General features: G+C 50.7%; 1 protein-coding gene and 1 long non-coding RNA gene across 10 annotated transcripts in view, besides 5 other annotated features; one reads left to right on the top strand and one right to left on the bottom strand.

The window, feature by feature from the left end:
- H6PD (hexose-6-phosphate dehydrogenase/glucose 1-dehydrogenase) overlaps positions 1 to 26,797 on the bottom strand; it is a 36,564-nt gene that overhangs the window by 8,779 nt on the left and 988 nt on the right. The window contains exons 2-5 of one of the 9 annotated variants that reach the window (XM_047435002.1): positions 22,541 to 22,744; positions 16,998 to 17,634; positions 15,476 to 15,593; positions 231 to 500 (exon numbers count right to left, since the gene is read on the bottom strand). In XM_047435002.1, the coding sequence (XP_047290958.1) occupies positions 231 to 500; positions 15,476 to 15,593; positions 16,998 to 17,634; positions 22,541 to 22,563 (1,048 nt within the window). In that variant the 5' untranslated portion in view covers positions 22,564 to 22,744. Of the gene's footprint in view, positions 1 to 230; positions 501 to 15,475; positions 15,594 to 16,997; positions 17,635 to 19,571; positions 19,734 to 22,540; positions 22,745 to 26,797 lie in introns of those variants that run through there. The other 8 variants (NM_001282587.2, XM_017002865.3, XM_047435005.1 and 5 more) reach the window with 8 other exon arrangements.
- Positions 9,533 to 10,092: an enhancer, noted in NCBI's record as "OCT4-NANOG-H3K4me1 hESC enhancer chr1:9312526-9313085 (GRCh37/hg19 assembly coordinates)". NCBI's record gives its function as "activates a minimal SCP1, AML or CMV promoter by ChIP-STARR-seq in naive H9 embryonic stem cells {active_cell/tissue: H9 hESC(naive)}" and the evidence as "EXISTENCE:reporter gene assay evidence [ECO:0000049][PMID:30033119]".
- Positions 10,355 to 11,277: an enhancer, noted in NCBI's record as "H3K4me1 hESC enhancer chr1:9311341-9312263 (GRCh37/hg19 assembly coordinates)". NCBI's record gives its function as "activates a minimal SCP1, AML or CMV promoter by ChIP-STARR-seq in naive H9 embryonic stem cells {active_cell/tissue: H9 hESC(naive)}" and the evidence as "EXISTENCE:reporter gene assay evidence [ECO:0000049][PMID:30033119]".
- Positions 12,202 to 13,125: an enhancer, noted in NCBI's record as "H3K27ac-H3K4me1 hESC enhancer chr1:9309493-9310416 (GRCh37/hg19 assembly coordinates)". NCBI's record gives its function as "activates a minimal SCP1, AML or CMV promoter by ChIP-STARR-seq in primed H9 embryonic stem cells {active_cell/tissue: H9 hESC(primed)}" and the evidence as "EXISTENCE:reporter gene assay evidence [ECO:0000049][PMID:30033119]".
- Positions 13,126 to 14,049: an enhancer, noted in NCBI's record as "H3K27ac-H3K4me1 hESC enhancer chr1:9308569-9309492 (GRCh37/hg19 assembly coordinates)". NCBI's record gives its function as "activates a minimal SCP1, AML or CMV promoter by ChIP-STARR-seq in naive and primed H9 embryonic stem cells {active_cell/tissue: H9 hESC(naive and primed)}" and the evidence as "EXISTENCE:reporter gene assay evidence [ECO:0000049][PMID:30033119]".
- On the top strand, positions 19,841 to 20,596 carry LOC124903836 (uncharacterized). The gene is made up of 2 exons (XR_007065455.1): positions 19,841 to 20,003; positions 20,286 to 20,596. It is a non-coding gene; the product is annotated as an uncharacterized LOC124903836 (long non-coding RNA).
- Positions 21,079 to 21,744: an enhancer, noted in NCBI's record as "H3K27ac-H3K4me1 hESC enhancer chr1:9300874-9301539 (GRCh37/hg19 assembly coordinates)". NCBI's record gives its function as "activates a minimal SCP1, AML or CMV promoter by ChIP-STARR-seq in naive H9 embryonic stem cells {active_cell/tissue: H9 hESC(naive)}" and the evidence as "EXISTENCE:reporter gene assay evidence [ECO:0000049][PMID:30033119]".

The raw sequence follows: 26,797 nt of genomic DNA, 5'->3' as shown, positions 1-26,797 counted from the left end.
GAGGCCATGGCCATTGGGATGTCCTTCGCCCTGAGGGCACCACCAGCTGGCCTGCCACTTTAGGCTGGTAGGAGGCCAGGGAGACAGGGGAATGCCATCCTTGCCTCCGAGCACCCTGGGGGAAATCCCACCTCAAGTCCCCTCCACTCCACCCAAGGGCGTCTGCATTTGGAAAGCTGCTCCCGGCGAAGTGGGCAGCCCAGTGCCCCATGCCCAGCCCCAGGGCCCACCTGCGAAGGTCGGCGTCAGGCTGTGGAAGCTGTCTGGCTTCTGCAGCTCTCTGCGCACCTGCTCACTGTAAGACTGGTACTGGCCCACGACGGCACTGCCCCTCTGCAGGCCCCGCAGCGCCTGGAAGACCTGAAGCTTGTGCCGCAGCACAGCCTCCGCACTGCTGACATTGTGGGGCAGCTCCATGGCCACGAGGGTGAGGACCTCCGTCAGATGGTTCTGGAGGACGTCGCGAATGACACCGTACTCCTCATAGAAGCTGGTGCGGCCTGGTGGAGGGAGGTGGAGAAGTGGGGAGGATCTAAAGAGAGGCCAGAACATCAGATCTCCCCGAGGTGCACCAAAACCCCAGCCCGCACATTCATCCTGCATCCTCTTCCCCCAGTCCACAGGGCCTATAAAAATGGTGCACACCAAAGCCAACCTCACCACGAGAAGGGAGGGAGGAAGTCTTGAAGCCACCTCTGTCAATGAGAACTACTGTAAGAGAAGGCGTCAAATCCGTGAGCCTCTACAGAAATCCACATGAAGAAAGCTCTATTCCCAGCAAAGGCCAGATTGCCTCTGTAGATACTGGCCAGCCCCTCGCCCCGCCCTGCCTGGCCACTGCCAGTAGGAGGCTCGGCACTGTGGGGGCTATGGCACCATGGCGGGGGCTGCAGCACCCCAGAGTATGACTGCCACTTACTAGCATGTGATCTTGGGTAAGTTACTTGACTTTTGTTCCTGCATCCTGCCCTTGGATGAGACTAACAAGTGCCACCTCACTACCGGGCGCACACCTGTGCCAGGCAATGTGCAGGGGAGTGGGAGGGAGGGAAAGTGGGAAGAAGAGAAAAGGAAGTAAACAAAATTACAGAGCAGTTGTGACAGAGGGTAATGAAAAGGCCCCTCCGAGACCTGAAGAGCCAGCCTCGCAAAAAGCCAGGGAGAAAGCATCTCAGCTGCAGGGACCCTCAGGTGCCAAAGCCCCGAGGCAGGAAGGAACTTGGTGTGCTGGGGGCCAGATGGAGGTGAGCAAAGAGTGGGGACAGCGGTGAGGCTGGAGAGGAGATCAGGGGTCTTGCAGGATAAGGCGAAGAGGCTGGACTTTTTTCTAAGATCAGTTGTAGGGGGGACACTGGAGGATCTGAGGCAGGAGAAGACGAGACCTGACCTATATTGGGGATCGACCCCTGGTCTTGGGGGGAGAATGGGTGCAGATGCAGGGAAGGCAAGGAAGAGGCTGCACAGCTGCCCAGCAGAGACGACAGGGCCTGGACTAATGGGCAGTACAGGAGCTGGAGGGGAGGGAGAGGCACCCCAGAGTCAGGATTGACTGGACCTGCTGACAGATGGGGTGGGTGTGAGCAAAATGGAGGCCCCCAACATGAGCCCTGGAAGTGGGGCCTGAGCAGAGGGATGGGCAGTGGAGGCGCTCACAGACACGGGGAGGCGGAAGCAGAGGGGTTTGGTGGAGGGTTTAGGTGTGTTTAGGCTGAAGACCCCCAGGCGCAGATGTCCAGTTGTCAGGTGTACGGGGTAACTGTGACGATAAAAGGGAAGAACACCTGGAGAACATGGAGCAGCACGACCAGCATAACAACAGCAACATAACAACACCAGCCTAACAACACAACACCAGCATAACAGCAGTGCAGCAACACCAGCGTAACAACAACATAACAACACCAATGTAACAACAGCAACATAACAACATTGGCGTAACATAACAACATCAGAATAACAGCAGTGCAACACCAGTGTAACAACAACATAACAACAGCAGAGTAACAACGGCAACATAACAGCAGCAACGTAACAACACTGGTGTAACAACAGCAACGTAACAACACTGGCGTAACAGCAACATAACACTGGTGTAACAACATAACACCAGCATAACAACAACAAAACAACACCAGCATAACAACATAACACCACCGTAACAACAGCAACATAACAACACTGGTGTAACAACAATGCAACACCAGTGTAACAACAGCAACATAACACTGGTGTAACAACAATATAACAACACTGGCGTAACAACAGCAACATAACAGCACTGGCGTAACGACAACATAACAGCACTGGTGTAACGACATAACACTGGCGTAACAACAGCAACACCAGTGTCAACAGCAATGTAACAACACCAGCATAACAACAACATAACACCAGCTTAACAACAGCAATATAACACCAGCTAACAGCAACGTAACAACACTGGCGTAACAACATAACGACACCGGCGTAACAACAGCAACGTAACAACACCGGAGTAACAACATAACACCAGCATAACAGCAGTGCAACAACACCAGCATAACAACATAACAACAGTAACATAATACCAGTGTAACAACAACATAACAGCAGAGTAACAACAGCAACATAACACCACCAGCATAACAACAACGTAACAACACTGGCGTAACAACAGCAACATAACACTGGTGTAACAACAACATAACACCGGCGTAACACCAGCATAACAACAACAAAACAACACCAGCATAACAACATAACACCACCGTAACAACAGCAACATAACAACACTGGTGTAACAACAATGTAACACCAGTGTAACAACAGCAACATAACACCGGTGTAACAACAATATAACAACACTGGCGTAACAACAGCAACATAACACCGGTGTTAAGAGCAATGTAACAACACCAGCATAACAACAACGTAACACCAGCTTAATAACAGCAATATAACACCATTGTAACAGCAACGTAACAACACTGGTGTGACAATGTAACAACACTGGAATAACAGCAACATAATACTAGTGTAACAACCACATAACACCAGCATAACAGCAACGTAACAACACTGGCGTAACAACAATATAACAACACCAGCATAACAACATAACAACACTGGCTTAACAGCAACATAACACTGGTGTAACAACAAGTTGTTGTAACACCACCACCAGTGTAACAACAACACAACACTGGCGCAACAATGGTGTAACCATACAACACCAGTGTAACAACAACATAACAACACTGGTGTAACAACAGCAACATAACAACACCGGTGTGGCCAGGCATGGTGGCTCACGCCCATAATCCCAGCACTTTGGGAGGCCAAGGCAGGCGGATCACGAGGTCAGGAGATCGAGACCATCCTAACATGGTGAAACCCCGTCTCTACTAAAAAATACAAAAAATTAGCTGGGCGTGGTGGCGGGCGCCTGTAGTCCCAGCTACTTGGGAGGCTGAGGCAGGAGAATGGCGTGAACCCAGGAGGCAGAGCTTGCAGTGAGCTGAGATCGCACCACTACACTCCAGCCTGGGCGACAGAGCGAGACTCTGCCTCAAAAACAAAAACAAACAAACAAAAAACATCAGTGTAACAACAGCAACATAACACCATCATCGTAACAGCAATGTAACACTGGCATAACAACATAACACCGATGTAACAACAGCAACATAACAACACCAGCGTAACAACAACATAACAACAGTAACACAACACCAGCATAACAACAACATAACAACACCAGAGTAACAACAGCAATGTAACAACACTGGTGTAACAACAACATAACAACACCAGCATAACAATGTAACAACACCGATGTAACAGCAGCAACATAACAACACCGGTGTAACAACAACATAACACTGGTGTAACAATGTAACACCAGCGTAACAACAACAAAACAACACCGGCATAACACTGGCACAACACCGGCATAACAGCAACATAACAACGGTGTTAACAGCAATGTTACAACACCAGCATAACAATATAACACCAGCTTAACAGCAATGTAACAACACTGGTGTAACAGCAACATAACACCAGTGTAACAACACAACACCGGCATAACAATGGTGTACAACACCGGTGTAACAACAACATAACACTGGTGTAACAACAGCATAACAACAGCAACATTAACACTGACATAACAACATAACAACACTGGGATAAGAATGACAACACCAGTGTAACAACAACATAACACTGGTGTAACAACAATGTAACAACCCTGGCGTAACAATATCGGTATAACAACGTAACAACACGGGTGTAACAACAGCAACGTAACAACACTGATGTAACAACACCAACATAACACCACCAGCGTAACAACAGCAACATAACAACACTGGCGTAACAACACCGGTGTAACAATAGCAACGTAACAACACCAGCATAACAACACCAACGCTGACAGCAGCCCCGGCCCGCGCCGCTCCTCCCCATACTCACAAAGACCCTGCACGCAGGCACCGTGATCACTCCTGCTCCGCGAGTGAGGAAGGAGGCAGGTGACCAGGCGCGGGGGCAGAAGCAGACACTGCTTAACCACGAGCTCCGCTCCACTCCCTCCTCTGAGGCTGAACCCCGGTGAGCACTGATTATCGGTGACTCGAATATACAGGACAGTCCCAGAGATCAGGGTTCCAACGCATACCACCTCGCAGGAGAGTTCCAATGCCCAAGTCTCCTCACACCCTCACCTACAGAGAGAGCCTGGCCTCAGACACGAGGAGCCATCATTTCTCAAAGGCTTCTGCACGTAGGACCCCTAACCTGGGATTTGTTTGTTCACCCAGCAAACTCCCAGTCATCCTTAAGGGCTCAGCTTCTAGGAGCTTTGGCCTACCCCTTCTGAGGGGCCCTGGCTTCTTCTAGCCCAGCTGACTGTAATTCAGGCCTGTTTCTCTTTCTTCCCCACTACGAGGGAGGCTCCATCTGAGTGGCATCTGCCCTCTGCTGCATCCCTAGCCCCTAACACAGCACTACGTTCAGACAGTGGACAGCAGAGAAAATGAAGATCCACACATTGTCACGGATAAACCTCCAAGACGTAATGTGGTGAGAAAGCAACATGATTACTTTGATAAAATAAAAATTAACTTGAAAATAGGATATAGGCCAGGCGGACTGGCTCATGCTGGTAATCCCAGCACTTTGGGAGGCCAAGGCAGGAGGATCACTTGAGCCCAGAGTCCAGGAGTTCAAGACCATCTTGGGCAACAAAGTGAGACCCTGTTTCTACAAAAAATTAAAAAAAAAAAATTAGCCAAGTGTGGTCCCAACTATTTGGGAGGCTGGGGTGGGAGGATTGCTTGAGCCCAGGAGGTCAAGGCTGCAGTGAGCTGTGAACCTGCCACTGCACCCCATCTGGACAACACCGCATGAGACCCTGTCTCAAAAAAAAAAAAGAAAGAAAAAGAAAACAGGATATAAAGTGACCAAAATAAACAGAACTTCAATAAATGAAAAATATAATTGGAAACTAGAAATTCAGTAGATGGGCCTTACAGATGAGAAACAGCTGTAAAGAGTCAGCTAGCAGAAGACAGAGCTGAGGCGATTCTCCCAAATGCTGGACACAGAGACAAAAAGATCCATGCTCGGACACATACAGGATGACTCTTGTTCAAAATTAAACAACAGGTTGTTTAGGGAACCAGGCGTGCATGGAAACAGAAAGAGAAGCGAGGGAATAATCTATCCACAATTTGGAAGTGTAAGATGAGGAAATAGGTCAGAACGTGGGGAGGGACACGCAGGAGAATCAAATTCTTTTTTAAAAACGGGTGGTAGGTGCATCCCCGTTTCTTATACCATAGTTCTGTATCTCTTCCATGCATTCTGTAAACTTTAAATTTACCTAGTATCTAGTTAACATTTAATTCCAACAGACAAAAAGCAGCAGATCCTAAGTTCAGGCCTGCTGAGCCCAGCATGCTCCCCTCCCAGCAGCCACTCTGGGTCCATGGCGCCAGTCCTGGGCACCTGCCCTGACCAGGTTGGTGGTGTGCACTCTCGGGCCAACCAGACAGCAAGCATGTCCAGGTCATGGCTGGGGGAACAACCTGCCCTGAATCCAGCCCGATATGCCATTCCCGACAGCAGCACCAGTGTTGGGGGGCAAGAAATGAAGCCGGCAGCCACTCGTAGGAAGGCACTCTGTCCCCGGCCATAACAACCAGGAGCTAGAGGGTGCAGCTCTGTCCAGGGATACTAAACCTTGAAATGAGCAGGAAGTCCAGCCCAACTGTGCCAACCAAAATGCCAAGAGTGGTCTCCACTGGGAAAACAATGGCTGAGATCCCCCAGCTCTGTAGTGTTGTGGCCTTCAAGTTCTTGTGCTATTGTTGAGAAGACATCCAGAAAAAGAGAAACTGATGCCAGCAATGTTTGTGGATCAGTCCATTTATCCTCAGAATAACAACATATAAGGAGGCCCCTCTATTTCCCCTATTTTAAAATATAAGGAACCTGAAGTTCAGAGAGGTTGGATAACTTACCCAAGGTCACACACAGCTGGTAAAGAGGTAAAAATAGCTTCAAACCCAGGCAGTTCGACCCAGAGCCTGCAATTCTTACCACCAAAACATTTCCCTTTTAATTACCCACTCTTCAACCCTACAACAGAACGGTGTGAAGTTGAGTGGCGTGGGCACCACTGGCCTTTAGAAACAGAGCACAATGAAGAAGCCGGCTGAGCTTCTGGAAGGAGGGGTCTAGGGCAAAGCTCAGAGATTCCAATGCCTACCGGGGCCAGCAAAAGCGAAAAGGATGGAGTAAGGCTGGTGTCCCTCAGAGGTACAGTTAAGTACCTCAGGTGCATTCAGGTGGTGCCTCACAGGAGTGTGGGCCCAGGGTGACCAAATCTTCCAATTCTCCTTTTCGGGAGAATGTAAAAAGACAATTCTTCCCTTCCCCTGCAATAATAGAACAGGAAAATCAGGAATATCTTGCATTTGAAAGGGACCTAAGGCCTGGCACAGTGGCTTATGCTTGTAATCCCAGCACTTTGGGAGGCTGAGGTGGGCAGATCTCCTGAGTCCAGGAGTTCAAGACCAGCCTAGGCAACATGGCAAAACCCCATCTCTACAAAAAATACAAAAATTAGCTGGGCATGGTGAAATACACCTGTGGTCCCAGCTACTTGGGAGGCTGAGGTGGGAGGATCACTTAAGCCTAGGAGGTCGAGGCTGCAGTGGGCTATGATTGCACCACTGCACTCCAGCCAGGGCGACAGATAAAGACCCTGTCTCCAAAAATAAAAAATAAAAAATAAATAAATAAATAAGAGTTATTGGCCTCAAACAGTTAAACAGAGTCATGATCCTCCAGCAACCCCACTCCTGGGTTTATACTCAAGAGAAATAAAAATGCAGGTCCACACAAAAGCTTGTACATGAATGCTCATTGCAGCATTATATATAACAGCCAAAAAGTAGAGGCAACCCAAATGTCCACTAACTGGTGACTGGATAAATTATGGTATATCTATACAATAAGATATTATTCAGCAGTAAAAAGAAATGAAGTGCTGGTACATGCTAGAACATGGGTGAACTCTGAACTCAGGATGCTAACTGATGGAAACCACACACCGTATGATCCTATATGTACAAAATATCCAGAACAGGCAACCCCGCAGAGAGAATGCATTTCTGTGGTTGCCAGGAGCTGGGGAGAGGGGGAAATTGTGGGATGACAACGAAGGGGTACAGGGCTTCCTTTGCCGTGATGAACATGTCCTAAAATTGATTGTGGTACTGACACACAACTCTGTGAATACACGAAAGCTCACTGGCCTGTCCACCTTAACTGGGTAAAGTGTAGTAGGATTTGTGAGTTACAGCTCAATAAAACTTTTTAAAAAAGGTTTTAGAACAGGGAAGCAGAAGCACGAAAGAGGTACTTCAGGAAGATGAAGCTGTCTGCGACCTCCAAGATGAACAGGATGGGACTGGTGGTAGTGAAATCAGTGAGGCAGCCTTTGCTGCCATCAAAGGAAGTAACAAAGGTAGGAGGGAACGAAGTCACAGTGAACTGCAAAGAAGTTATTATAGCAGATGAATACAAACTACTTGGTGACTGGCTGGATCCTTGAATGGTGGTACAGAGCTGTGATCTGGAGTGTGGTCTCTGGAGCCAGGCTGCTCCAGTTTATTTTATCTTATTTTATCTTATCTTATTTTGTTTTATTTTATTGGAGATGGAGTCTCCCCATTACCCAGGCTGCAGTGCAGTGGCGCGATCTTGGCTCACTGTAACCTTCGCCTCCTGGGTTCAAGCAATTCTCCTGCCTCAGCCTCCCGAGTAGCTGGGATTACAGGCACAAACTACCATGCCTGGATAATTTTTGTATTTTTAGTGGAGATGGGGTTTCACCATTTGACCAGGCTGGTCTTGAACGCCTGACCTCAAGTGATCCACCCGTCTCGGCCTCCCAAAGTGCTGGGATTACAGGTATAAGCCCCCGTGCCCAGCCTGCCCCGGTTTAAATACCGGCTCTGCCATCTTTCAGCCCTGTGATCTCCAGCAACTGACATCACCTCACATACGAACAAGCAACAATCCCCGCACCTCCCTTACAGGGCTTCTGTGGGCCTGAAGGAGTTAATATCCACACAGGGCTTGGAACAGTGGCTAGCACACAGGAAACACTGATAAAGACTGGTTGGAATTTTTCTTATGACAGATGCTGTAAGAGAAGGGCTACCAGCCTGGTCACTCAGAGAGCACTGTTCCCATTTGAAATAAAGAGGTTAGAAAACACAGTTGGTATTTCATGAGAAAAATGCAGTGATGGTTTTCATTCTAAATCTGCTGAATCTGAAGGGATGGTGCAACACCCCATGAAATGATCTAAAAGGCGGCTGGAGGTATAAACTAGGGCCTGGGGAGACAACGCACACTGGAGATAAACTGGATTTCATCAAACCTGAAATGCCATCAGTGGCGGAAGCATCGCTGTTTTATAACCCCTAAGAAAGAAAAGGGTTTCCAGTTCCACTATGTCACCCTATTAAGGATAAACCCAACTTCAGAGACGTCCAAATATGAAAAAAATGTCTTCCAATCAATGAATTACAGTGGATTTATATGTCAACAGCATACTTAAAGCTTTAAAAACAGATGAATTTTTGATGAAGGGAACACAACAGAGTCCCTAAAAGCCCTGTTATCTGCTTACTATTCATTAATGTAGCGAATCCCTAAGCGGCCCCTTTCCTATTTTTATCCTCTCTCAATTCTCAAAAAGAATGCATTCCACGGGTTTACTACCTGCTGGGTAAAAGAGAGCTTCCTTTATTCCTTAATTTCAAGCTTCAGGGGGTGCGCCTGTGTTTAACACGGCCTGTAGATTTATGGACTTTGCCTGGTTGGCTCCGTCTTTTCAGAGTTTAATGCAGTGACTGGGACTGTGGCCTGGCACCTCCCTGGGAAGAGGCCATGCAGCTGAGTGCAAGGACAGGAGGCGAGGGGCTGGCCCTCCTGCTGATGTTGATCTTTTCTAGTTACTGCCCGTTATTGTGGACTGATTTCTCCTAAAAATGATCTATATTGGCTCCTAGTGTATTTTCCCGGGTTGAAAGTTGAGGGTTGAAACCCATCAGTATATGAAAAGGATAGAGAAAAGCACAACCAGGGTGGACACTGGGAGGAAAGACCCCCTGTAAACTTGGCTCCCACCTGTGCACATCCAGAGCTCGTCCAAGGTCAGAGGATGACAAAGCAGGGGGGCCATGGCTGTGCCCGCCAGCTGTGCTGCTCAGACTCATAACAGAGAGTAACAGCTAGAAAGCACTTCTCCCCTTTGGCCCCGTCATTCTACTGCCGAAGTATATACTTAAAGGGAATATGTTTTTTAAAATGCTCATAAATGTTCTCGAATTAGATAGTAGTTGCATAACTTTGTAAATATACTAAAAACCACTTAATTTTATATTTTAAAAGCGTAAATTTTGTGGTATGTGCATTGTATCTCAATTTTAAAAAAAGCTCACAAAGTACCATCTAAGATAGAAGCCGGGGAGGTGGGGCACTCCTGTAGTCTCAGCTATTTGGGAGGTTAAAGCAAGAGAGGATCACTTGAGACCAGGCGTTCAAGACCAGCCTGGGTAACATAACAAGACTCCAAGATAATAATAATAAAATAGCAAAAAACTAGAAACAACCAAAAAGCTTAATAAAAGAGTTTATAACACATATTCTGTGGTATGAACAGAACTGAACAGAAATATAAATATTAAAAGGTATATGTTGTGCAGACTGCTAATACATAGAGATTTAAGTATGTATACAACTGTGTATGTATATGTGAGAGAGAAATATGACATAAAGAATGGACATAAAAGTATGACAGATCAATTACAGGATTTATATAATAATCCAATATAAGTCACGTGGAACTCAGACACACTGCAAGAACACTGCCGCTGCCTCTCCTTGCAAACTTGGAAGAACAACAACACTTCCATTTGTAACGTATTTCCGTGTGCATTATCTGATTTAATCCTTAGAACTACCCGAGAGAGAGAGGTGCCGGGGCTATCAGCATTGTATAGATGTGCGCTGAAGGTCACAGCCTTCAGAACCGGGACCAGAAACCCCTTCCTCGTTGCTTCCACATTGTGGGAAATCCAGGTTTTCTCAACAAAAATAGATTAAAAAAAAAAAAAAAAGACAACTAAGAGCCAGCTGCAATCCCCATCAACACCTTCTGGGATTACTAAAAATAAAAAGAGGTGAGGGCCAAGGAGAGCACAGTGTGCTTGCTGGTGCTCTCTCTGGACAGGAGATCCGGCAGCTGCCCTGGGCTCACCTTGCAGACAGCTCTGCAGAGGGGGCGGGAAGGGGAACCGGCCCTGCTGAGTGAGCTCCTGGCCCCTTCTGGCACACCAGGCTGGAAGGCGGGACAGCTGGTGTGTGCCTGGAAGGACCCTGGATGCCCTGGTCCCTCGGTGAGAGGCACTGAACGGTCACTCCAGCCCTCAGAGGTGGGCAAGCATCAGGCTCCTTTCCCCCATGTCAGGACAGGGACCCTCCCAGCAGTGATGTCCTCAGGAAGTCTCCCTCCTTCTTTCTAACAACAACAACAACAACAACAACAACAACAACAACAGCAGGCCTTCTACACAGAGGGGAAACTAGGGCAGCAAGGAGACTGGCCCTGAGTGCGTTCCAGCAGGGAGGCCAACTGCTGAGGGCCTGGCCAGCTGGGGAGGCTGTGGAGCTCAGTGGTTAGAGGCTCAGGCTCTGAGGTGCCAAGACCTCAGTTCCAATTCCAGCACTCCCGACAGAAAAGGCAGCCGGACCCAGACAGCTGAACACAGCCCATTAATCACATGGGCCCGCCTGTCTGCAGAGCCCTCCCGATGCCATGATGAGGGCCAGCCAGGGTCATCTCTGGGATGAAGGAGGCTCAGTGACTCTCCTTTTATGGCCCATGCTGCTTCGAGACCCCAGCCAGGGTACCCAGGGGGGCTGTGACTCTCAGGGGCTCACGGACTGGGACGCACAGGAGGAGCACCCCAGGTCAGGCTGAGAGGGAGCTGGGAACCAGATCGCGTCTTCCTTTCCTCCTCCCCACCCCCTCCGGCCTGTGCAGCAGCCTTGACTCTGCAGCAAACTCCTCTGGGCCAGAGGCTGCAGCAGGAAAAAAAAACAACACTCACCCAGCATGGAGGATGGAGGGGAGGGAGCCGGGGAAGCCGGCTTCCACCCACTTAGATGTGTGTGATGCGGGTGGGGGAAGACATCCAAACGACCTTGCAGCTCAGAAGTCCCTTTCCCGGGGCCTGCAGCAGCTCTGGACCGGGAATGCTCCATTTCCCAGGCCTGGCTTGCAGCCCCTCCCTTCCCAGCACTCAGGGTGCTGGCTTCGGTTACGCAGGTGCCACTCCTGCCTAGGAGTCAGCTAGGGTTGCACCACTGCAGGGGTGGAGAGCAGCTGGGATCCACCAGAACCCTTGGCAGGGCAGAGGACAGGGTAGGGAGTGAGGGAGAATGGCCTGTGGTATGTGTGGGGTGGGGAGTGGGAGAGAATGGCCTGTGGTGTGTGTGGGGTGGGGAGTGGGGGAGAATGGCCTGCGGTGTGTGTAGGGTGGGGAGTGGGGGAGAATGGCCTGCGGTGTGTGTGGGGTAGGGAGTGGGGGAGAATGGCCTGCGGTGTGTGTGGGGTGGGGAGTGGGGGAGAATGGCCTGCCGTGCACTTTGACCCCTCTGATTAGCAGTCAGACCGCGGGCTCCGAATCCTGCCTTGGAAACATTCTGCCCATGCTGAGCCCCACTGCAGCAGCACTCGCCTGCCAAGTCCACCAAGCTCCAGTAGGAGGCAGCATTTACTCCTGCCTGTTTCCCGCCCTCACCCGGGACAGCAGTGGCAGCCTAGGCCTTGCTGTGCTGGGCACAGGGCTCCTGGCCATGCTGGGGTGTGCTGCAGGTCTGCGGTGCCTGTCCCCTCTTTCCAGTCTGAACCACAGGTGGGAGGCCCCTGAAGGACTGGCTCCAAAGCAGGACTCAGAGAGGACAGCACAGAGCAGTGCTTGGGCCAGCAGGGCTGTACCAGGCCACCTTCCTGGAATGCAGAAAGAATGTGTCCCCTGGCACGCAGGCACACAAAATTGAGAGAGGCAGCAAGCAAGCTCATTCTGTTGCCAAAGCACCCTGTGTCCAAGGCCCACTTGCTGGGGGGCTGGGCTCAGCAGCAGGCTGTCCCTCCCTGCTACGAGCTATCAAGGACCTGTTTGTAAATGGCAGGTAAACAAGCCAACCAGTGAGGGCCAAACCCCAGGACAGTTGCAGTCCTGCTGGCCACCTCTGACAAGGAACGTGGACTGAACTAGCCCCACTCTGGTCTCACCGCGACAGGCTGCAAGCCTCCAGGACTAGTGGATCTCCCACTGCCTGTCCTGCGCTGAGGCTCCCTTTGCCCCTGGGCTGAAGGTACAGGGCCCAGCTGTACTAAAGGCCTTGGACTCTGGAGCTTAGGAGCGGCGGACCCTCCCCTAGAGCCCCATATGGCAGGCAAGGCTGGGCCTCCTTTAGTCCCTGCAGCTGTGACAACAGGGCTCCAGGTGCCTCTCCCTCCTGGACCTTGAGGACAGCCAGCCCAGGCTGTTGTGTTGCTGTTCAAACCCAACATCCTCAGACTGTCCCGGCAAACAGACCTGCCCAGAGCTCCACCTGTCTGTCTTTCATATCTTCCGTGTTTCTTTCTTCAAAATCCAAAAGTACCTTTGCTAGGATAATCGGGCCTGCAATCTGCCTGGTCCCTGGCTCCATGGGACCTACAAACAACCCACAAATGACACCACATACCAAGAAGGAAACAGGGTGGGAGGGCTGGAAGAACTAAGAGGCAACAGTACCAACAGGTAACTCCAGACATCATGGCTCTTCCCCAGCCCAGGGCGGAGATAGGAAGGAGTTGCCAGAAAGGGGAGAGGAGTCTCCCAGCCTCGCTGGGGATGGGGCCAAGTCCAGGTAGAGAAGGGCAAGCGCCGGCCCGCTGGCTTCAGCAGGGGCAGGACCCCCTCCAATTCTGCTCTAGGCTCTCTGCACCAGGTGCAGCTCACTTCTCTGAAGATGAAGCAGGCATAGGCCCAGCACACGTGCCTGCTGGGAGATCAGGCACAGACAGGCACGGGGGGCAACCCACGGCCAGCGCCCTGGCTGAGGACTGGGAGGGAAATTTGGAAGGGCTGGAGGACGATTCCCTGAGACCCATGAAGGCTCACTGCAGGGGGTAGGGCCTCTTTTCTGCTGTGGGTTCTGAAGTAGAGAAACCCAGTGCCTTCTCGAACCCAGCAATGTCCTTCAAGGCCTGGCTTGGGAAGTCCTGCCTGGCCTCCCGCCCACCCCCCACATTGTCCCCCCACCACGCTGCCTGCCTGCAACACCCATCACCCATTTTGTTTTCTTTTTCAGAGACGGAGGCTCACTATGCTCCCCAGGCTGGTGTCCAACTACTGAGCTCAAATGATCCTCCCGCCTCTGCCCCCGAGTAGCTGGGACTACGGGTGTACCACTGCGCCCAGCTCCATTTTGGAGTTTGTCCCACCAGCCAGTGTGATGAGATCATCACCCCCCACAGCACCCGTGAATCTGGGCAGTATTAGGGAGCCATATCTGAGAGGCTGAGTTTTGTACCTCACTGTGGCACCTCGGCCCCGCAGAGAGCTTCTGGCACTAAATACACATTCAGAGAGGAAGGGAGAAGCAGCTGAAGAGAAACCAAGGGGCGGGGGAAAGAAAAAGAGAAAATGGCCCAGAGAAAGAGCAAGGGAGAGAGAAAAAGAGGAGAAACCTCCTGGCCCATCCCTGGGTCCAGGGCTCTGGGCCCTGCCCTGTGGCGGGCACGCACTGCGGGGGCTGGGGGGGCAGTGGCCTCGGGTGCTCCCGCTGCAGCTGCAGAAAGCGGCCGCGGGGATGAGCTGGCCACTGACGCAGCGCTGGCAGCACAGCGCAGCGGCGCCAGGCCTGAGTGCTGGGGCCAGACTGTTGCCCCCAGGATCAGGCTCCACCGCCTTCTACTGTGGGGCTGTGGGCTCGCCACCATCTTCATCTGTAAGGAGGCTAGTAACAGCGCCCACCTCACCTGGCGGCTGGGGACTGGGGACACAGTAAACTTCAGCTCTTATCGTTACTGGGCAAGAGCCAGTGCTTTACATCTTCACGGTCAATGCTCCAAAACTTTGCTACCATCACAGAATGCCAGCTAAGGGACCTTAGCTGTCCTCACCGACAGGACATGCTCATCTCACAGCTGCAAGGAGTGACATGCTGAGGCCACCCAGCTGAAGGCAGCGGTGGGCATGACGCAGGGCCCCCGCCTCCCGGGTGTATACTCAGTGTGTCTGAGGTGTGTGGCAGTGCGGGAGAGGCGGTGTCCTCCTGGAGCCTACAGGCTGGCAGAAGAGACAGGGTGGACAAGGACGAGGCAAGGGTAACACTGTGCAGGGCAGGGGAGGGAGGTGTGTGGCGCCGTGAGGGTGAGGGGAGTGGGCCTGCAGGGCTCAGAAAGTCTTCCTGGAGGGCCATGGAGCTGAGAACTAACAAGCGAGAGAGGGGTCAGAAGGTGAGGGGGACGCGAGGGGGAGTGCCCCAGGCAGGGGGCGCCACGGCTGCAAGCACCACAGTCGGGGAAGCCCTCACGCAGTTCCCATGGTCTCCACGCACTCAAAAACTTGGGGGACCTCAGGGAGACTCCAGCCTCTACCGCGTGCCAGTGGTTTCCCGCCTCTGTGCCAGGCCTACTTCTCTGGACCATACGCTCCTCATGGGCAGCAATGGCTACTTGGGCTTTGCAGCCGGCACCCTGGGGTTTAGCCCGGTTCAGAGCTAGGCACACGGCAGGCTCGAAGGGAGACCACACACCCACAGAAAACCTCCCTCTGAGAAGCGCCCCATGCCTCACCGCAGACAGCGGGCAGGCAGAGGCTGGGGGACCGAGTGCGCAGGGCCACTCACACACCTTCAGCATCCACGGTCTCTTTCATGATGATCTCCACCCGCTCCACATGGTGCCGGTTCCAGAGGCCGTCCAAAGCCTTGCGGTTCTGGTCTCGGAAAGGCAGGATCTGCGCCACAGCCTGTCGGGGGGGGAAGACTGGGCGTGCTGCAGGATACTCTCACGATGAAGGAGGAACCCTGACTCCCGGGAAGGGCTCTGACCTTTCTATTCCCTGCTCAGAGCAGAAGATGCCCTCTGAGCAGTAGTTCTGGACTTCACGATCTCACAGGCCAGTAAAGGTTCCAAAAACTTGCAAGTGACCTCCAAAGGGTTACCAGATTTGTATTTTGCCAAGAAAAAAAGTTAGAATTACCTATCTTCTATTACAATCAATTTTTAATAAAATAAAGATAGGTTTAACACCAAAAATGTAGCAAAGAAAAGCTCTGAATTGAGCACATTCTGTATTTCTTCTCATCTTGCCATAAACAAGTGAAAACCTCCCCAGGACTGGCCCAGTTCTGAGGACCCCTATTTAGGAATCCTACTATGGGCAACTCCAGGCAGGGTGGGATGGAAGGCCATGTCTCTGTCCTCAACAACTGCCTATGCCCACCCGCACCACGTACCAGAACACAGGGCTGCTGCACTCTCTGCCAGGGTTCCTGGGGCAGGATGCCCCCAAGGGCCTCCAAGGCATTTTGAGTGAACTGGTCAACGGACATGTGTCACCCAGGAGGTTAACCCATGCTCCTGCCCAGGACTTAAGGTCCTACTGCTCCCTGGTTTAAGCTCTTGTTGCCAACCTTCTGGCTCAAAACAGAACTCAGGAAGAAAAACATTTTGAAAAAAGGTAGATGGGGCAGGGTGCGGTGGCTCACGCCTGTAATCCCAGCACTTTGGGAGGCCGAAGTGAGCGGATCACTTGAAGTCAGGATTTTGAGACCAGCCTGGCCAACATGGTGAAAACCCATTTCTACTAAAAATGCAAAAAATTAGCCGGGCATGGTGATGCGCGCCTGTACTCCGAGCTACTTGGGAGGCTGAGGCGGGAGAATTGCTGGAACCCAGGAGGCGGAGGTTGCAGTGAGCCGAGATCATGCCACTGCACTCCAGCCTGGTGACAGAGCAGACTCTGTCTAAAAAAAAAAAAAAGGTGGATGGGTGCAGGAGAAGAGAGCTCATTCTGATTCCCACAGCACACCCAACAGGAAGCCAGATCCAGACACCAGAGTTGCTGAGCCACCGCTACAGGGGATGCAGGGCAACCGTGAGAAGCCAGAGCCCAGACTGGGAAACAACGAGAACGGGGGCTTTGCAAAGGACAAAAGAGGCCAGACACATGGACAAGGACCCAACAGTCCTGCCCTGCTGCTGTCTTTCCTTTACCCGCTCGCCTCCTGCCCACCTTCAAGGAGACCATGGGAGCTCTGAGTTCACAATGCCTTGGGGCCTAGCTCCACAATGAGCGAGCGGCTTTGTTGCTGGGGTCTACCAGCGCCCAGCTCACCCTAGCCCTGGCAGGCTCCATGCTGATGCTCACCTGCTTGCCTAAGTAATGGTCCACCCGGTACATCTCCTCCTCCTGGAAAAAGGTCCCGAGTTCTGTGGCCAGCTGCTGGGCTGAGAAGTGGTCATGGCCAAAGGGTTTCTCAAGGACAACCCGCAGCCAGGCGCCCGGGCCTGGCCGGCAGCTACTGTTGATGTTGCGGGCAATGTCTTCATAGGCGAAGGGTGGCACTGAGAAGTAGAAGATCCTGCCAGCCTCCCGGAGGCCTGCGTGCTGGAGCTGTGCCTCGATGTCCTTGTTCAGGGCCTGATAGTCCTCGGCCGTCTTCAGTTGGCGGTACTGGCTCAGCTGCAGGAACTGATCCTTGTGCTCTGCACAGTGACTGGGTGCCATGTCCTTGGGGCAGGAGAGGGATTCCAGGGCCTTGGCCATGAGCTCTTGACCCTGCTTGGGGGCTGTCAGAGCAGCTCCATGGAAGCTAAAACTGTGACCCCTCCCCGCTTCATCCAGGTACAGCTGGAACAGTCCCTGCCATAAGTACTTCTTAGCCAGGTCCCCAGTTGCTCCCAGCAGGATTATGGAGACATGTCCCTGGAGCTCCTGGGCTTGCAGGCAGCCCAGAAGGGCCAAGCACATCGCCACTATGAGCATATTCCACATGCCTGGGTGCCTGGGGTGCAAAGAGAGACAGACGAGGAACAAGGAAGGATCAGACATGGTTCAGGTGGCTACGATGTGGAAACAAACACTTCCTGCCTGGCAAGAAACCACCACGTGTTTCTTAAGAAAATGTTATAAGCCCACAGCTTGTCCCTCCCTCCTGACAGCTTGGCTTCTGTTCCAGGAAGTCAGTGGGTAGGGAGCCTGCCCTGTAGACAGGGACTCTGCCTGGGAAAGTTAGAGACCACTTGCTAGAGATGAACCACTTTGCTGCCAGGAGCATAGGAAAGCGGCAAAGGCCACCAGGGAGGGCCGCAGGCCTGGGAGTGGAGCTGTCCATTTTATGACCAAGGCCAGTCTCTTCTAGGAGCACAGGTCACCCGGACAAGCAGGGCAGCCCCAGCCTAGGTATAGTGGCAGGTCCTCAGGCGACAGTTGGAACAGTGAGAGGGCAGGACCACCTCCTCTCACTTGCCTCTTCTCCATGTCCACTGGGCTCCAACTACCAAGTGATGACTAATAACTGCTACAGCATAGTGACAGAAAACATGGACTCCAGACTAACTGCCTGAGTTTGAATCCCAGCTCAACCCCTTAGTAAGTGCACAATTATTTAACCTGGCTGTACCTCAGTTTTCTCACCTGAAATGGGGGTAATAGCGGTACCTACAGCACAGAGTTGTTATAAGGATAAAAGGAGTTCATGCTTATAATGAGCTGAGGCCTGTACCTATCACCTATTAAGCACCGAGTGGTAGGTGTCATCCTGGAAGAGTGATACCAGCAAATGATTAGTGCTGGCACTAAGTACTTATGTGTATTAGAGCTCAATGAATCCAGACAAGAATCCTGAAAGAACCACATGGGGTTCTGTGACAGTCCTCCCATTCTGCAAATGGAAAAGCTGAGGCTCAGGTCAATGAAGGTCCCAGGGTAAGAAAGCAGGGGAGCTGGGACTGACTGTGCAGCCACTGCATGACATGCCCAATGACCTCTCCAGCACCGCTATAGAGGGGACCAAATCTGCCTCTTGACCCTGACGTCAGACCCCCCCTCCCACCGCCCCCGCCTCTTCCTCATCTCTCTCAAAATTCATGTCCAAGAGGGTCCTAGTGAGTGACCAACCCAAGGTGAGGACCAACAACAGTGTCTGGGCCAGTGGCTACAACCTCTCCCAGGTAAGCAAACCACCTGGGCTAGTGTTCAGCCTAAACTGAGGCACTCACATGCATGAGAAGTAGAGGCCTAAGGTGGGTCACAAACACACCAAGTATTTGTTTGTTCTGCCCTTCTGTTCTAACCAAGGTTGTAGGGCTTCCTGCACTGAATTCTTCCTCCACAGCTCTCTGGCTCTCTAGCTTCCAACCAAGGCCAGTGTTGGAGGGAAAGGAAGAAGGAAGTGAGGGGGAAAGTCATCACGGCCGGCATGCCCATGGGAACTAGTCAGAAATCCACGGTGGAAATGGGGCTCAGCCTGCAGGTGGGAGCAGTGACGAAGGAACTGAATGGCTGATTTAGCGCCTATTATATGTCAGGCATTTACCAGGTAAAGGATTAACAAAATCTTTAACAACTTTAGGAAGCCATAATCTGGTAATACAAATGGAGAAGTTGAGGTTTAAAGAGATAACTTACAAAAGTCCCCACAGAACCAGCCCAATGACCTCTCCACCATCCCTATACAGAGGGCACCAATCTGCCTCTTGACCCTGACGTCAGACCCCCTCCTCCCACCACCCCCTCTGCCTCTTCCTCATCTCTCTCAAGATCCATCTCCAAGAGGGTCCTAGTGAGGGACCAACCCAAGGTGAGGACCCAACCACAGTGTCTGAGCCAGTGTCTACAGGACACACGACGCGTCCATCACTGGAGCTTTAACTAGAGGATCAGGGCCACACGGGTGGCTCCCCAGCCTTCCTCTCCCACTCTCCCTGTATCTGCCCTCACCCCTAAATACACACACGGACCACAGGACCATTCTGCTTTTTCCTCCTGCTTTCCAGTCCCTGTCCTTGGCCCTTCAAGCGTTTTTTCCTCAACCGGCAATCGCTCGTCTGGAGAGAAGGAGAAGCTGCAAGGTCAGTGCAGGAGAGAGGCAGCAAGAAATCTGAAGCCCAGAGAACAGCCTGGAGAAGGAGGAGCCGCCAGCTGGCAGGCTGCGCTTCAGAGCTGCTGATCGGATCCTGGTAGCCAGGGCTCTGGACGTGCCTGGTACAAAGGGAGGAGCTAAGCCTCCAGAGTCCTGGCATGGGCAGGTGGGGGAGCCCCAAGGGCCAGCACCTCTGCCCCCACCCCAGAAGACTGCAGACAGCTGTGACGGATGGCCACCTGGCCTGAACTGACTCCTGGCCCTCTCTTTAATCCTGTTCTGACTCTGAGGTTTGCCACAGTCCTCCCTGACCAGTCCTGTTGTGGGTCCCCGGTTCTGAGGTTGGCCTCCCTTATCTGTTATGTTGCCAGCACTCCTTTAAACAAATCCAAGATATTGGGTATTACAACATGATTGCTTACTCTGTGGTTGCAAAACAACTAAAAAACAACTCTTTCCTAAATGGGTGGGGGTAGTATGTGTGGGTATTTTTTTTTTTATGTTTTTTTAACCTTTACAGTGTTTCTCAAACTTTAATGAGCATTTGAATTTCCTGGGGATCTTTTTAAAAGGACATTCTGATGCAGAAGGAAGAGGACCTGAAGTGCTGACAGCTGGTCCAAGAGCACACTTTGAGTAGTGAGACTCCGGAATACTGAGCAGCGAGCACCAGAGCAGCAGTTCTCATCAAAGGAGGGCATCAGAACAAACACGCGGTCCTCGCCTCCTGCTCCCTTTCTCAAGACAGAGACATTCTGATCCAGTAGGTGTAGGGTGGGTCCTAACACAGGTGTTTCGAAACAGTCTCAAATGGTTTCATGCGCCCATCCCCTTGTAAAAACTGGTTGTTCCTGAATCCAATAATAATACCTATGTTAACCAAGTAGTCGGCGTGTGCCAGATGACTTAAACGCACCTTTCCAATCATTCCTCACAACAGTCTTGTGGAGGAGGTTCTGTGAGGAGTCTCATTCTACAGACGAGGAAACTGGGAGGTGAAGGAAACTGTCAAGCCACAAAGCCTGGACCCTCAGTCACGATGCTAAACAGCTTCCTTTGTCAAGCAGAAGAAGGAAGCATTGGGGTCCAAGGACCTGGGCTCAAGACCACTGCCTAACTTCGTGATCTAATTAAGTCAGCTAATTAGGCCAGGCACAGTGGCTCATGCCTATAATCCCGGCACTCTGGGAGGCCAAGGCAGGAGGATCACTTGAGCCCAGGACTTCCAGACCAGCCTGGGCAACACAGCGAGACCCCCATCTCTACAAAAAATATTTAAAAACTAGCTGGGCGTGGTGGCACATGTCTGTAGTCTCAGCTACTCAGGAGGCTGAGGACTGCTTGAGCCCGAGAGGTCCAGGCTGCAGTGAGCCATGATCGCACCACTGCACTCCAGCCTGGTGACAGAGCAAGATCCTGTCTCAAAAAAAGTAAATAAATAAAATAAATAAATAAATCAGCTAATTAAATCAGGGAGATGCCCTCCACCTTTCCATAAGGGTGGGTAGGTGATTAGAGCCTTAGCATCCACATTTCTTCATCTACAAAACAGGGCAAATACCATCAACCCAAGGTGGGGGTGGGGGGAGGGGCAGTGAAGACTGAGATGATACATTTGACAAAAATGCTATACAAATGTTAATTAATTAATTAAATGCAAAGTTCCTCCTGGCCCCCAAGGGTAGTATACCATTGCTCTCAGGAAAAACATTGTGAACCTCCCTCCTCTCCTGGGGCTACAGAGCCAGGCCCTGCAGACAGCACTGGAGAACCAACCCTGGTTCCTAACTCAACACTCCCGACTAGTCTGGAAGCAGCAGGAGGAAGGCTGGCTTGGTCATCCTCCCTGCTGCCCTGACAGGGAAAGAAGCAGGCCCAGAGAAGCCCAGTTAAGTCAAAGTCAGGGACAGGGGGACCCCAGCCTCTGGAGCAGAGGCACCCACGGCTCCAACACATCTCCTGGGCTCCAAGCCTCCTCCTCATGCTGCACGGCTCTGCTTCAGAAGGTTTTCTTCTGAAGCACTTCTCCCCTCTGCCTCCTTGCCTGCTCTGAGAGGAATGGGCTGTGAAATAAACCTTCCGAAATTACATACTTGAAGTTAGCCAAAGAGCATGGAAGTAGCCTTCCAAAAGCTTATCCAACTACGAATCACTTCTGCTCAAAAAATTAACAAATCAATGAGAAAATCTTTAGTGAAAAGTTTGAGCAGCTGTAAGGGGAGGGGGCATTACACTGGGAACCCGAATGTGTGGTGGCTCTTGCCTGCGCCCTGCCTCTAAACAACCACATAACCTTAAACAAGTCATTTAGCCTGGCTGGGCCTCAGTTTCCTCATCGAGGAAATGGGAGGGTGAGATAAAGGATCTGTGTGATCTTTTAGTGTCCCTAAGTCCTGTTTTCCGAGGAAAGGTGATCCGCACCCTATTATCCGGGAACTGCCCTCCACTTTTCTATAAGGCAAATGAGTGCTTCGAGCCTTGACCTCTGCAGCCAGGCAGGGAAACAGAGAACTAAAATATGAAGCCAAGAGCTGAGAACTGTGCGTCATTCAGCAGTTAAGACAAAAACTCTTGAAGCTATGACTTACGTGTGTGGAGGATGCAATTTCATTTACAATTCTTATTTAAGATACTTGCCAGAAATACACTCACTACGAAACAAAATGCTGTGGGGGCATCCTGTAGGGAGGTGGAAAAGGCCTTCTTCTGATGGCTCATCTTAGAGCCAGGGCGGACTGCAGGCACGTGAACCCAGTCCTGGGCACCCTTCACTGTCTCCAACTCTAATCCTGAGAGGCTCCTACGAGTCATCCTGGGAGAGACTTACCAGTTAAAAGGCTCTGCTAACATCCCAGAAGGTGGGGGCCAGGGGGTTTGGATCAGAATCCAGGTTCCGGCCTTTGTTCTCACACAAGCGGAAGAGGCGTGCAGCTGTCCCCATACAGACCCGGCACAGCAGACCCAGCCTGTGCTGAAGCTCTAGCCGCAGAGCGTTTTCTGGTAAACCACAGGAGGAAGCAGTTCTAATCCTCTATGCCCAGCAGACAAGGGGTGGGAGAGAGGAGCGGGAGGTAAAGGTCAATGTCTGCTGCTGCCCTGTTCCCTTTCCCAGCTTTTGACGTTACCTTCTGTGCGCCAGGCAGGAGGAAGGGAAATTTTCTTCAAATCATGACCCATGAGTTTGGAATTTTTTAAAAAGAACATGTGGGAGTAAAACAAAAGTTCAAACTAAAGATCATTTGAAACTAAAGCACAAGGTGATGTGCCTAGTCTTTTTACAATAGCCAACCCAAGGTTTTTGTTTTTGTTGTTTTTTGTCTGTTTTTTGCAATCTTCCTGTTCTGGTCCATTTATGCTGAACCCATCAATGCAGATAAAAATCAAGCCTGCTATCAATGACCTCTGATCTGCATTCACTGCCCTAAGGGCCAGAATGGGGACAAAAGCTTCCAGATCGGGCTCTGGGGTCCTTGTTCCTCTCTCATCTCAGAGAATCCTCATCCCATCTTTAGGCACCTGTCCTGTAATCCCAGCACTTTGGGAGACTGAGACGGGAGGACTACTTGAGCCCAGGAGATTGAGACCAGCCTGGGCAACATGGCAAAAACCCGTTTCTACTAAAAATACAAAAGTTAGCTGGGTGTGGTGGCGGGTGCCTGTAATCCCAGCTACTTGGGAGGCTGAGGCAGAATAATTGCTTGAACCCAGGAGGCGGAGGCTGCAGTGAGCAGAGATTGCACCACTGCACTCCAGCCTGGGTGACAGAGTGAGACTCTGTCTCAAAAAAAAAAACCATTAAATTAAAAAGAAAGGTAATAAATACTCAAAACTCATTACTTCCTAATCATCTGACTACATTTCACTAATATCTATGCTCTTGATATTATTTATATCCACTGCATCTATGAGGTGAAGATATTCTATTATAGTGTATTTGAAGTTGGCCAACGTCAGAATATTTACACCACAGATATAGGCAAAGGCTATAAATCAGGTTCCCCACTACCAACCCCACCCCTCACAGAGTCAGTTGGTAAACATTACCAGCACACAACTGCCTATCCGTCCAAGTCTTTATTTACAGCCCGAACTTCCCCTAAACTCCAGACTCATGCAGTCAATTGCTATTCTGAGAGCATGAGTGGGATGTTTGCCAGACTTAATATGTACAAAACTGAACTGATTTCTCTCCCAATCTGCTTCCAATGTAGCTTTCCCCATTATCAGTAAATGACAACTCTATCTTTCCAGGTGTTCAGACCCAGAAACCTTGAGGTCATCGTATCTGTCAGCAAATCCTGTAGTTTCTATCTTCAAAATTTATCTAGAATACAACTGCTTCTCACCACCTTCCACCACTCCACTCCAGTGCCAGCCACCGTCATCTCCGTCTGGATTACTACAGGAACTTCCTAATTGGCCTCCTCTGTCTACCTGGACCCTCTATGGCTGAGCCTCAACACGGCAGTCAGAGTGACCTTTTTATAGCTCCAGCTGGATCATGCCATTCCTCTGTGCAGATGTCTGCAGAGTCTACACATTCTGGCCTCCCACCCATTACCTCTTTGATCTCTTCTCTTACCATCCTGCCTGTCTAGGCTCTGGCCGCCCAGCCTCCTGCCTCAGGGCCTTTGCACTTGTTCTCTCCGCCTGGCCAACTCCCCCATGTCCCCCACCAGGTCCACGTGGTTTACTCCCTCACTAATTTTTCTTTGCTAAAATGTCATCTTCTCAGTGAGGCTTACTCAGACCACTCTAAAATTGTAAACCGCCCACCCCCATCCTCCTCTCCTGCTTTATTTCTCCCCACAGTACATCGCTTTCTAATATACTGTATGATAATTACATTCATTTTGCCTATTGTCTGCCATTCCTTTTCCCAAGAGTGTGCGTGCCAATGAGGACAGGGACTTTTGTTTGTTTTGTTCTCCGCAGTACCTCCAGTATCCAAAACAAGGCCTGGCATACAGAAGGCGCTCTATAAATATCTGCTAAATGAACAAATAAATCCCATTTGCACAGGACCACTGTCATTTCTGCATTTGAAATACGGCACAAAGGAATATACCTCTAATGGTGACTTCAAGCACTGTGACACAGCACACAGCAGCAGCTTACTACTTGGAACAACACTTTTAATAATAAAAGAGCTATTTATGGAGTATTTAACTATATGCCAAATGCTAGGCTATCGGTGTGACATGCATCACACCATTTAAATCTTGCCACAACCATATGAGGTAGGTAACATGATTATCCCCATCTTAGCAGGGAGTAGAGAGGAAACTAAGGCAAAGAGAAGTCAAATAACATGGCCAGGCGCAGTGGCTTACGCCTATAATCCCAGCACTTTGGGAGGCTGAGGCAGGAGGATCATTGGAGGTCGGGAGTTTAAAACCAGCCTGGCCAACACGGTGAAACCCCGTCTCTACTAACAATACAAAAATTAGCCAGGCGTGGTGGCAGGTGCCTGTAATCCCAGCTACTTGGGAGGCTGAGGGAGCAGAATCACTTGAACCTAGGAGGCGAACGTTGCAGTGAGCTGAGATTGCGCCCCTGGGCAACAGAGCAAGACTCCATCTCAAAAAAAAAAAAAAAAAAAAAAAAAAGAGAAGTCAAATAACTTACCAAAGGTCAAGCAGCTAGAGGTGATAGGATTTGAATACAGGCAGTCTGGTCCCAGAGCTAACCTTCCCGTAAAATGTGACTACATCCCTGAATGGCAAAATGTAAAACACTGTATTACATTTACACTGTATCAGTGTAGATACTGAACAGTGGTTTAAACCAGACAGGCTGTTTCTCTGCTCCATGAAGTCAAGCTGTTCCGAACACTAACTGCGGTAACCAGCCTCTGCCTCCCGGGTCCGCTTTGCCTTTCACAGTTCTTCCTTCTGACATCATGAAGACATCATGTATAAGCCTCAGTTGCTTTGTTGAAACGTGGAAGACCTTCAAGGGCTAGTTTTTGGAGAACTGGTTACATAAGAATATTCTGGATTCAAATCCCTGCCACTCAGTAACTATGTACCCTCAGACAAGTTATTTAACCTCTCTGTACCTCAACCACAGAATGGGAAAACAAATCGATGGGAAGCATGTAAGGTACTTAGCACAATGCCTGGCATACAGTAAGCACCCAAGAAATCCTAGCTGCTTTTTTTTTTTTTTTTTTTTAAGGAGAAGTCTAGCTTTGTCACCCAGGCTGGAGTGCAGTGGCACGATCTTGGTTCACTGCAACCTCCGTCACCGGAGGCAGGGCGGTTCAAGCGATTTTCCTGCCTTAGCCTCCCCAGCAGCTGGGATTACAGGCATCCGCTGCCCCCATGCCCAGCAAATTTTTGTATTTTTAGTAGAGACGGGGTTTCACCATGTTGGCAAGGCTGGTCTTGAACTCTTCAAGTGACCTGCCCGCCCTGGCCTCCGAAAGTGTTGGGATTACAGGCGTGAGCCACTGGGCCCGGCCAGAAATGTTAGTTTCTATCATTAAACCATTAGCTTCACGAATGAAGTCCTTCTTGCTAGCTTCTTGAACTGCTGTTAAAACCAACTAACCAGCTGGGCGCGGTGGTTCATGCCTGTAATCCCAGCACTTTGGGAGGCCGAGGTGGTGGATCACCTGAGGTCAGCAGTTCAAGACAAGCCTGGATAACATAGTGAAACCCTGTTTCTACTAAAAAATACATAAAATTAGCCGGGTGTGGTGGCACGCGCCTGTAATCCCAGCCACTCAGGAGGCTGAGGTGGAAGAATCGCTTGAACCAGGAGGAGAAGGTTGCAGTGGGCCGAGATCGCGCCATTGCACTCCAGCTTGGGCAACAACTAACCATCAACCACAGAAAAATGCCAAGGAAAAACTCAGACAGCTTTTCATGATCTTCCAATCATAATGATGAAAAATTAAAGGGATATGATGCATAATTTAAAATACGCTGTCTGGGCGTGGTGCTTCACACCTGTAATCCCAACACTTCGTAAGGCTTAAGCAGGAGGATCGCTTGAGCCCAGGAGTTCGAGACCAGCCAGGGCAACATAGTGAGACCACTGTCTCTACAAAAGGTTTAAAAATTAGCCAGGCGTGGTG

The sequence above is a fragment of the Homo sapiens genome, chromosome 1 (genome assembly GCF_000001405.40).
Source record: "Homo sapiens chromosome 1, GRCh38.p14 Primary Assembly".
In the NCBI taxonomy this organism is placed as follows: domain Eukaryota; kingdom Metazoa; phylum Chordata; class Mammalia; order Primates; family Hominidae; genus Homo; species Homo sapiens.
The sequence above is the reverse complement of the archived record's forward strand: the minus strand, read 5'-3'. Positions and strand labels throughout refer to the sequence as shown.